The sequence below is a fragment of the Homo sapiens genome, chromosome X (assembly GCF_000001405.40).
Source record: "Homo sapiens chromosome X, GRCh38.p14 Primary Assembly".
In the NCBI taxonomy this organism is placed as follows: Eukaryota; Metazoa; Chordata; class Mammalia; order Primates; family Hominidae; genus Homo; species Homo sapiens.
The window spans coordinates 153,575,817-153,587,419 of NC_000023.11; the positions used below are offsets into that span (position 1 = coordinate 153,575,817).

The 11,603-nt window shown below is 51.7% G+C and overlaps 1 protein-coding gene across 7 annotated transcripts in view; it reads left to right on the forward strand.

The window, feature by feature from the left end:
• ATP2B3 (ATPase plasma membrane Ca2+ transporting 3) overlaps positions 1–7,113 on the forward strand; it is a 65,288-nt gene extending 58,175 nt beyond the window's left edge. For all 7 annotated transcript variants that reach the window (NM_021949.4, XM_005274689.4, NM_001001344.3 and 4 more), the window contains one exon: positions 4,162–7,113. In NM_021949.4, coding sequence (NP_068768.2) covers positions 4,162–4,187 — 26 coding nt within the window. In that variant the 3' untranslated portion in view covers positions 4,188–7,113. The remainder of the gene's footprint in view (positions 1–4,161) is intronic.

Genomic DNA, 11,603 nt, shown 5'->3' on the forward strand with positions numbered 1-11,603 from the left:
GCTGGAGCAGTGTCGGACAGCGCTGGGGGACTGTGAGGAGTAAAGGACTGTGGCCTCTCAGGGCCATCAGCCATGATGGGGAACGGAGAAGTGTGGCAGAGGGAGACAGCAGGAGGACACAAGGAGGTGGGGACACACAGTGGGGAGCCACCTCGCCTCACCCGGATGAGATGGGGAGTCCTCCAGCCCAACCTGACCCTCCTAGGGGCATCTCTCCCGGAAGAGTGCTTTCATTTCCTTTCTTTTTAAATTGTCACAGTAAAACGGGCTTTTGGGGGTACAGTTCAATGAATTTCCACACAGTCAGGACACGGGCCAGTTCCATCGCCTACTGGAAGGTTTAGAGCCAGATGGGGGACCAAGAGTCTGACTTGGCAGCCAGAGAGAGCTCGGAAACTCCACCTAGAGAAGGGACAGGAAGGATGGAGGGCTTTGCTGGTGGGGGTTGGGGTCCCAATGTGACCCCAGGGCCCCAGGCAGGACATAGCAGCAGCAATGGAGGTGAGGAGAGGCTCAGATGTGGAAGATGCTTTTGAGTTAGGGTAGGGCCCACAGGACACGTGGATGTCTGGTACATAGGGTCAGGGGGTCAAAGTGCCTCTGAGGTTTGGCCAGAGCCCTGCACTGGGATGGGAAGGCTGCTGGTGGGCAGAGTTCAGCTGGAGCACTGATAAGAGTCCTCCTCGGGCCTCCTGCAATTTGAGAGGTCCCTTAGGCATCCGAGGGGGAACACCCGGGAGGCAGCCAGGGCAGAAGTCTGGCAGTCCAGGAAAAGGTGGACATGGTGCAGCTGGTATCTGCAGTATTTACGGTGGCCTGATGGTCTATAGACAGCATTGACAGCCCTGGGGGCCATGAGATTCCTTTGGGAGCAGTAGGGGGCGTGGCGCGTCCTGGGCTGAGAGCAGAGCAGGAGGCGGTGCAGGAGCCTGAGATGAGGACAGAGTGAACCCAGGCTGGTGGAAGGAGGGCATCCTTGAGCACCCAGGTAGGAGTGCAGCCCTCTGGGATGGGCCTCTCTTAGAAACGTTTGTTGCTTTCCATTGAACCAATCTCCCAGGAATCGACTGCATCCTTCAGTGTTGGGTGGGCTGAAAACACCCCACCTTAACACCAACACCAAAACATTGTTTAATGGCCCAGGATTAGGATGCAGGGAAAATAGAGCCTGGAGAAAGCTGACTCACTGTCAGCTGTAACAGACTCACCAGGACTCCAGCCAAGCTTAGCACCCCCAAACAGCAGAATGTTGGGGGGCAGCCCTTCCATCCTGCAGCGGTTCACTCAGTCACTTGTGCATTCCCCAAGTGTCTGCTGAGCAGCTGCTCTGGGCCAGGCTCTGTTGTTAAGCCACAAACAAGGCAGATGCCATCCGGGAGGGGCACGCTGGAGTAGCCGGTGAGACCGGAGGAGCAGTAGCAGCAGAAGCCCAGCCTGGAAGGAAGGGCTGGCTCCGTGGCCTGGCTGTCCTTTATGGAGGTCTTTGGAGTTGAGCCAGGTGCAGTGAGACCTGTGCATAGGTTTGAGCAGGGGCCTGGCCTGATCACATGCCCCCAGGTCTGAATGAGGCCACCAGCTCAGCGAGATCTCACCCCACACAGCCCTGGGGTCAAGGCCTGCAGCACTTTGTCCTTTTTGTGACTTGATGGGCAACAGCTTTAGCAGGCGATGTCCCAGGCGGCTTCCACACCACAATCCTGTACCAGAAAAGGCCTAAATAATGAGGCAACATCTGCATTGGCTACGAAAACTGAATTCTGTTTCTTTTCATTAAAAACGTCAAATTATTCTCAATTTCTGTGTTACCCCTAATTCAGAAACCAGTCTGGGGATAAAGGCCTGAGTGAGAATAGCTGACCATCTGCCGTCTGGCAGATGTGGCTTTCCCGAATGCAGAGAAAATCCGAACCAGATTTCAGATGGGGTGCTAGAAAATTCCAATGTGGAGCTTTTTGGCTTACTTTTTTTTATTATTATTTTAAATAGGAACGGGGAGTATCACTCTGTTGCCCAGGTTGGTCTCGAACACCTGAGCTCAAGCGATCAGCCCGCCTCGGCCTCCCAAAGTGCTGGAATTACAGCCGTGGACCACCAAACCTGGCCCTGGCTCACTTTTTGCACTGGAGAGGTGATGAGGTTGGCATCATTTCAGCTGATTCCGAAGCACTGTGCTTTGCCTAGCTGAGCCCCTGGAGGGCTGAAAGAAAGTCACCGAAAAAAGGTGATTAATTGTCTAAACGACAGAGCCAGAGAGGAAATATTTTTAGCTTTCCAGGCCTGGTCTCTGCTGCCGTGACACAACTGTGCCCTTACAGCATGAAACTTAAACCAGTAAAATTTTATTAACCAAAACTAGCAGAGAGCTGGGGTTAGCCCCTCAGCAAGCCCTGACACCTTGTCTAAACCCAGAAAACCAAATCCTAGGTCGAACCTTGGCCCCAGAAATGCTTCAGAACTCCTAATGTGTCCACCTGCTCACATAGGCAGGGGTGGACAGGTGTTGGATGAACCCCAGGGTCTGCCTGGCAGCTCAGCGCTCCGTCTGCTGCCCCCTATAGGGATGGCAGTACAAGGTGGGCCAGCTACCATTGGCGGCTGTGCTGACACTGGCCTGTGCGAGGCCAGGCAGAGGCCTCCCCATCAACTCCTGGCTTCTAGAAGCAGGAGGGGGCCCAGGCTGAGGGGCCAGGGAGCAAAGAGAGGCAGCAAGGACTTGAGTGCGTGAGGCAAGGTGGAGAAGCCAGAGGAGGGAAGGGCTCGCTCCTGGAGCAGTGCCCTGCCGGAGGGTCAGGGGGCTTAAGGGCTGCCGTGCGCTCAGCTGGGGGCAGAGGGCCACTGTGCCGGGGGAGTCTGGGGCACAGCGGGAGCTCTTTCATGCGGGAAGTTCCGCTGATCTGAGGTCTGCAAACTCCTGTGGGGAGGGATGGCCAGGGAACAACACAGAGCGGAGCCCGGGAGGCAGCAGAGACGCAAGTTTTGGAATGTCTGACTGGAAGATGGAGGAGGAGACGGGAGAGAGGACAGGCGGAGTGAGGTCAGAAGAGCAGGGGCACCAGATTGAACCAGACCCAGTCAGACACGGGGGCTGTGAGGAGGCCACAGGGGCATCTGAGCAGAGACAGGCTTTAGTGGGTGCAAATCAAAAGTGTGGCCATTTTCGGTCTCAGATACCTCCAGCTGGGGACTGCTGGGCTCTCTGGCCTGGAGCTCTGAGTACAGGCCTGGGCCACAGTTTCTGGTTATAGCCAGATGGGCCCCAGCACTGTGGCCAGGGTGGAGAGGTATGGACAGAGAGGAGGAGGGACAGAGCCAGGCCAGAGCTCTGGGGCACCCAGGGACAGAAGAGAGGGCAGTGGAGGAGATGGGGCCAGGGCAGCTGGTGAGGTGGAAGAGGGCCAGGCAGGGGCAATGTCAGGAAGCCATGAGAAGCTTCCAGAAAGAGGGATGATCTTCTGTGTTGAGTGCCCTGAGGGATCAAATCAGACGAAGATGCAGAAGTGGCCAGTGGAGTTAGCCGCAGGGAGACCCTCGACATGGCAGGTCCCGGCTCCAGCCATGGGAGCTGGGGGATGGAGGGAGACCCATGCGAGAAAGGCCGGCAGTGCCCATAGGCTGGGAACTTGCTCATACCAGCAGGTACTTCGGACTTTCTGGTAAGATCGAGAAGACATCCCACTCACCAGCATTCTCTCCTTTTCAAATCATCTTTCTTTTCTACCAAATTGGAATTCAGATTGGGCAGAGACCCCAGAGGTCACCAAAGCCACTCGTCTCCCCAGGACAGGGAACTGCGGGGTCACAGCCAAGAGCCTAGTGCAGCACTCTCAAGTTCCAGAATACCTGCCCAGCTCAGCCTAGAGAAAGACACTGCCATCTTTTCCTGCATGCGGATCGGTTGACGAGACCAAGGCCCACACCTGAAAACTCTTTCCAAAGGCAGGCAGAGCCATCCCATTCCGTAGCAGCCCTCCAACAAATGGGTGGACATTTCTCATGCCATGACCCCCAGCCATTGACGTGGGTGGAATTTACCAGCACCAGCCGGCCACTGACTGTCTCCTTCCTTCCTTCCTACCTTCCTTCCACGTTTCCTTTCCTTTCCCTTCCTTTCCTCCCTCCCTGCTCCCACCTCGCGCCCTGTCCCTCCACCTCCCACTCCAGATCCGGGTGGTGAAAGCGTTCCGTAGCTCGCTCTATGAAGGCCTGGAGAAACCAGAATCCAAGACCTCCATTCACAACTTCATGGCCACGCCCGAGTTTCTGATCAATGACTACACCCACAACATCCCGCTCATTGACGACACGGACGTGGACGAGAACGAGGAGCGCCTCCGGGCCCCCCCGCCCCCGTCCCCCAACCAGAACAACAACGCCATAGACAGCGGCATCTACCTGACCACGCATGTCACCAAGTCAGCTACCTCTTCAGTGTTTTCCTCCAGTCCCGGGAGCCCGCTCCACAGCGTGGAGACGTCCCTCTAACAAGAACTTGTCTCAGCACATGCGCACACGCACACTCGGACTCACACGAAGTCACACGCACACATGCACGCACACACACATATGGGGACCTGCACACCTGCAAAACGAGGGAACAACTAAGGTGGCTGAAGACCTTTCTGGCAGGGCATTTGCAAGGACCCAAATCCATTCAACAAGGGTGCAGCCTGCCACAGGCTCCTCATCCGGACTGAGGAAGACGAGGACAGGGAGGAGGAAAAGGAGGAAGAGGAGGACAAAAAGGGGGAGGAGAAGGTTCTTCGTCCAAAGGAGGAAGGAGAAGAAGTAGAAAGTGCGAAGAGCTGAGTTCCCCACCTTTTTTTCTATTGATGCTTCTTTTTTAACAAACTACAGTTTTACCGTGTGTTTGCCATTTGAGCTGTGTGGTGGGCAGGGGGCTGGTTTGGGTTTATGGGGAGCTTTTGTTGCACCCATGCAGGGGCAATCAGATCAGCATCTTCATGCAAAAAAAAAAAAAAAGTTGAGTGCTCTGCAGGCCTGTGAAGGGTGCCACCTGAGGGAGCCGCCTGCAAGCGGCCCTGCAGCCACAAAGCAACCCGCCCTCTGCAAAAACTAGGCACATCCGCAGTGCGCATGTGTGTGCGTGCATGCACATATGTGTATGTGTGTGGATCTGTACACACACACGTATATATGGCCAGATGCGTATTTCAATAAGGAACTATTTACTGGCATGATATTTGCATTCCTCTTATCAGGCATTTTCATTTGGAAATTTCATTATTGAATGTAGCAAGGTTGTAGTTGTTTTTTTTTTTTTTTCAGGGAACTAGACTGCAAGAATATCTTTCTGGTCAACCCATTTTTGTCCCTCATCACCCCGCCCCCACCTTTCGCTCCTGCCCTCTGCCCGGCCCTACTGAGATTCCCAAGGAGAAGGCCGAGAGGGGGCGCTCCAGGTCTGGAGCAGGTATAATTGGAGCATTTGCACTGAGACCCCTGCCAGAGAGGAGAAAACCCTTTCAAGGGAAATTTTAATCTAAAAGGAAAAAACCAAAATATTGATGAGAAGGAGTCCTCCAGTTAGTGAAAGGGGAGTTTCGTTTTCAGCTTTCTTTGGTTCCTACTCCAATTCCACATCCTTCATCCTGGCCATGCCCCCACCTTCAAGAGCATGAAGCACTCTTGGAGTTGTGGGTCCTGCCCAGAGTCCAGAGAGCAGCCTCAGCTGAGCACAGGTCCGAGGGGGCGGGGGCAGGGCCAAGAGTTCAAAAGAAGCCAATGGAGGGAGAGGGAGCGTCAGAAGCCCGGAGGAGCTGGTGGTGGGAGAATGACGGCAGGGACGCAGCCACAGTTCAGACCCTGTCCCCTCAGCACCTGGATGGACTCCCACTGTTTGCTTTGGCAAATGCCGAGGAGTCCTCGGTAGACCACCTTGATGTCTGCTGTGACATCAGAGGTGCCACCACCAAAGCACTCTTCCCACCCTAGTCTTTGTGTCCAGCGGCCAAGCTTAAGCCATGAAGTCATGGATTTGTGGCTCAGCACCAGGTCCTGAGGGGAGCGTATCCTGGCAGTGTGGGCACCTGGTGGCCAAGCCTCAGTTTCCCCCAAATGAGCAAAGGGGATAAAGAGGGGCCCGACTTTTGCCACCCTCCTGAGGAAGCCCCTAGGTCCACACAGTGATGCCATGGGGGACCCTTGCCTTCCACACTTGCAGGTGTCACGTTTTGCAGGGAGGTGTTTGGGCCTTGGGCTCAGCCACTGGGAGACAGTTGGGACCTGAGGGACAGAGGATCGGAATGGAAACCACCAACGTGCACTGGCACCCTCAGAAGGCTTGTCTCACCTCCACCGGCATCCACACAAAACCAAACAGGAGCAGGCGTCATCCCCACTATTCCCATGAATGCCATGTCACCCCTGAGCAGAAGCAGTCAAATCTTGGGCAAAAGAATTTCGGTTAGAAAAGAAAATCCCACTTTAAAATGCCAGCTGCAGATAACTCAAAGCCATCCCTTTTTTCTAAAGGGCACATTGAGAATGTCACCCATTTGTAAACTGTTCCCTGATGTCCTTGTTTAAACGATAATAAGAAAAAGGGCAACTCCATTTGTTGAGGGTCTTTGTGTTCTTCAATGAGAAATCAAATTTGAGACGTTGAAATTGGAGCTGCGTGCTGCTGCACTCACCGGCTTCTTCTCACTCTCTGTCGTAGACACACCGATAGGACCAATGGCCAATAGATATTAAAAGCAAACCCTCACTGCTGCTGTATAAAGTTGCCTAATGTAAATGTCTATTGTTTAGTCCCTAGGTCACCTTTGTGCTGTGCTGTGGAGTTCAGAAACGGGGTACCATGACCTGGAATCTTTTGCTCTTGTTTTTGCAGTCTTCAAGGCTGGGGGCCCTGTCTCATTGGGAAGCCCCTCTTTATAAAGCATTATATTACTTGGAATGGCTTGGTCAACTGTGTTCAGTTCATAAATATGTTTTACATTTTTATCTGCCTGTTATAAAGATGAACAAAAAAACTTAATGAGAAAGATCACAGATACGTAATAATTTAAAGTCTGTAGTTGAATTTCCTAACTTAAAGAATAGACCAAAATTTCTGTGTATAAAAAAAAATGAAAGGCTCCTTACATCCTGGTCTGGGTAACGTGTGTGATTTATTATTTGGTGAATTATTGTGCAGAACAAAACAAAGGTGCCTTCATGCCTCTTTAACAGAGCTGGAGAAGCCCCGGGCAGGAGGGGCTTTCCCCTGGGTGTGCAGCAGCCTGGCCGGATGTGTATGCAGAAGAGGAACTTATGCTGGGATGTTAGGCCCCCAGTGGGAGGGGCTCCAGCTGCTGCAGGAGCCGCGGCTGTCTTGACTTGAAAGGGCCTCTAGTACACGGCGCGGTGGCTCAGTCCTGTAATCCCAGCGCTTTGGGAAGCCGAGGCGGGAGGATCCCTTGGGCCCAGGAATTTGAGGCTCCCCGACACACATGCACGCTCCCCACTTCTTTTATTGTGGTAGAACACAGATCACATAAAATGTACCACGTTCACCATTTGTAAGTGTGCGGCCCAGGGGCAGAAGCACATTCACGGTGCTGTGCAGCCATCACCACCGTCCAGCCGCAGAACTTGTTCATCTTCCCAAACTGAAGCTCTGGCCCCGTTCAACCCCAACTCCCCACCCCCCAGCCCCTGGCACCCAATCTTCTACTTTCTGTCTCTATGGATTTGACCACTCTAGGCCCCTCATAGAAGTGGAATCCTACAGTATTTGCCCTTCTGTGACTAGCATGATGTCCTCAAGGATCATCCATGTGGAAGCATGTGTCAGAATTTCCTTTTTAAGGTGAATCATACTCCATTGTCTGGATATGCCACATTTTGCTTATGCAATCAGCCATCCATGGACATTTAGGTTGCTTCCACATTTCAGCTATTGTGGACCATGCTGCAGTGAACATGGGTATGCAAACCGCCCTTCCAGACCTTGCCTTCCATTCCTTTGGGCCTATACCCAGCAGTGGAAATACTGGATCCTATGGGAACTGTAGGTTGAACCTTTTGAGAAAGCGCCATTTTCCATTCTCATCAGCAGTGCAGGAGGGTTCCAATCATAGACGCCTTTGCTAATCGAAAGCCACAGGAAGAAAGCCCACCATTTCACTCATTCCCTTAATCCACATGCTGCATCCCTCAACACCTGTGCCTGTGCACGCCCATGCTCCATGGTCCCATCCCTGCTTGAGCCCAGAAGAGCCAGGAAGGCAATCCTGTGGCCAAGACTTGCCAATGACCACCCTGGCGATGGCACTAAGACCACACTCCCCTCATTTCATTGGACTTCTCTTCCCCTTTTCGACTTGGCAGCACCGGAAGACGCATTTTCCAGGAAGGCTGCCAAGAGAGGAGAAAAATGGCTTCAAAGTCATTCAAAGCATCAGAGTCCATGCTTCTAAAACTGGCAAAAAGACCAATCAGGCCGGGCACGGTGGGTCACACCTGTAATCCCAGCACTTTGGGAGGCCGAGGTGGGGGATCACTTGAGGTCAGGAGTTCGAGACCAGCCTGGCCAAAATGATGAAACCCTCTACTAAAAATAAAAAAATTAGCCGGGCTTGGTGGTGCATGCCTGTAATCCCAGCTACTTGGGAGGCTGAGGCAGGAGAATCGCTTGAACCCAGGAGGCGGAGGTTGCAGTGAGCCGAGATCGCGCCACTGCACTCCAGCCTGAGTGACAGAGTAAGATTCTGTCAGGAAAGAAAAGAAAGGAAGGAAGGAAGGAAGGAAGGAAGGAAGGAAGGGAGGGAGGGAAGAGGAGAGGAGAGGAGAGAAGACAAGAGAAGAGAAGAATAAGAGGAGAAGGAAAAGAAAAGAAAAAAGAGAAAAGAGAAGAGAAAAGACAAATCAAAAACAGCAGGCAGAAGAATCGCAGCATGTCCTTGCTGCATTGGTGTCCAAGTGCATCCTGAACCATAAGGATGAGTAAGTCCAGATTGAGCCAAAGTCCATACCAAGACAGCTGGCCCTTCATGGAGAGACATCATGCTACCCCAAAAGAATCGCAAATTTGTGTCTGTGAATCCCTTGTCCACAAGCTTCTGCTTCAAACATGACACAGGTTCCACAGGGGAAAATCGGAACTCAGTGAAACAGCTGAGTCCTGGGAGTAAAGGCTTGCGCAGGGGTCTGGGGGAGGCCCGTGTGTGAGTGGCCCGTGGCTGCTCACAACAGAAACTTCTCTCCCAGTTCTGAAGGCCAGAAGTCCAAAATCAAGGCATGGGCAGGCCATGCTCCCTCTGAAGGCTCCAGGGCAGAATCTGCTCCAGGACCTCCTCTTAGCTTTGGGCATTGCCAGCCGTCCTCGGAATTCCTTGGCTTGTAGATGCTTCACTCCAACCTCTGCCTCTGTTGTCGTGTGGTTTTTCTCCCATGTCTGTCTCTCCCTGTGCGTGTGTCTGTCTGTGTCTCTCCTCCTTTTTCTTATACCTGAATCAAGCAGCTTTATTCTCACCCACAGCACAGTTCCATGCACGTGGGAGGCTCTGTTAGGTTCCAGAAGAAATATAGGCACGGAGGCTGTTTCTGGCTTGCAATTCTGTCACCTCAGAGTCCTTTCTTTCTGGAAGTTCACATGAGAAAATAGATGTTTACACCTTTGCTCTTAAGTGCTTACAGTGACATCTATAGTGTCCCCTGGACTTCCAGAGATGAACATGAAGCACATGATCCTATCTAGAATTGGCGGGCACTAATTTTCCCCACCACAATGATTGCCTGTTATTTCAAGCAACTACTATGTTCCTTATTGGTTTTACATTTTAACATACCGGGCCAGGCATGGTGGCTCACGCCTGTAATCCCAGCACTTTAGGAGGCCAAGGTTAGAGGATCGCTTGAGTCCAGGAGTTTGAGACCAGCCTGGGCAACATAGCAAGGCTTCATCTCTACCAAACATAAAAATAAAAAATTAGCCAGGCACGGTGGTGCACACCTGTAGTCCAAGCTACTCAGAAGGCTGAGGTGGGAGGATCGAATGAGCCCAGGAGGCCAAGGCTGTGGTGAGCCATGATTGCAAAAGAGAGAAAAGAAAAGAGAAAAGAGAAAAGAAGTGGGGAGGGAGGGAGGGAGGGAGGGAAGGAGAAAAGAAGAAAGGGAGGGAGGGAGGGAAGGAAGGAAGGGGAAAAGAAAAAAGAAAAGAAAAAGGGGTGGATGAATTAGCCCAAGATACACGGGTGATAGAACCAGCCTTCACAGCCAAGTGGTCTAACTCCAGAACCCACTCTTCGTTTCTTGGAATGTTAAAATGTATTTGAATGCTAAAATGTGTCTTGTCTTGTCTTTCCTGTGTCTTGTCTTTTGTCTTGTCTTGTCTTTCCTGTGTCTTGTCTTTTGTCTTGTCTTGTCTCGAACTGCTGAGCTCAAGCCATCCTCCTGCCTCGGCCTCCCAAAGTGCTGGGAATACAGGCATAAGCCACAGTGCCTGGCCTAATTTTTTTTTTTTTAATAGACAAGAGGTCTTCATATGTTGCCCAAGCTGGTCTTGAACTCTTGGGCTCAAATGATCCTCCCACTTCCGCTTCCCAAAGAGCTGGGATGACAGGCCTGAGCCACCATCCCCTGCCTATTTTTAAAATGTTTGAGGAATATCCATACTGTTTTCCATAGTGGCTATAGTATATCCCACCAGTAGTGTGTGAATGTTCCCTTTTCTCCACATCCTCACCAAAGCTTGTTTTCTTTTGTTTGATAGTAGCCATTCTAATTGAAGTGAGGTGATATCCTCGATGTGGTTTTGATTTGCATTTCCCTGATTCCTGACGTTGAGCAATTTTTTCACATACCTGTTGGCGACTTGTACGTCTTCTTTGGAGAAATGTCTGTTTAGGTCTATTGCCCATTTTTAAATTAGGTTGTTATTCTGTTGTCTAAATTCCTTATATATTCTGGATATTAACCCCTTGTCAGACGTAGAGTTTGTGAATATTTTCTTTTTTTAAAAAAAAAAAAAAGATAAGAGTCTCCGTCTGTCGCCCAGGCTGGAGTATGGTGGCGCAATCTCGGCTCACTGCAACCTCCGCCTCCCAGGTTCAAGCGATTCTCCTGCCTCAGCCTCCCAAGTAGCTGAGATTACAGGCATCCACCACCATGTCCGGCTAATTTTTGTATTTTTAGTAAAGACGGGGTTTTGCCATGTTGGCCAGGCTGGTCTACAAACTCCTGAACTCAGATGATCCACCCACTTCGGCCTCCCAAAGTGCTGGGATTACAGGTGTGAGCTACCACACCTGGCCATGAGGGCCATTTTTACCATATTAATTCTTCTGAGCCCTGGCCACCTTCTCTTCCTTCCTCTTTTCACTACCACGCTACACATTCTCATTCTGTTTCCCATCTCTCCCTCCACATAAGCAAGGAGTTTCACCTGGTTGCCAGAGCGCAGGCAAGGACTGGGCACACAGTAGCTGCTCAATAAATGTGGTTCTTTGACTGATTAGTCTTAAAAGGCTTACAACAGGTAAAGCAGGAGCCCACATTTAGGAGAAGTTAATCATCAAAACCCACAGGGGAGTTCTACGAAATGAAGGGCAGGTCAGCCAGGGCAAGCCTGCCCACCAGGGAAGCCTGTGACATCTGCT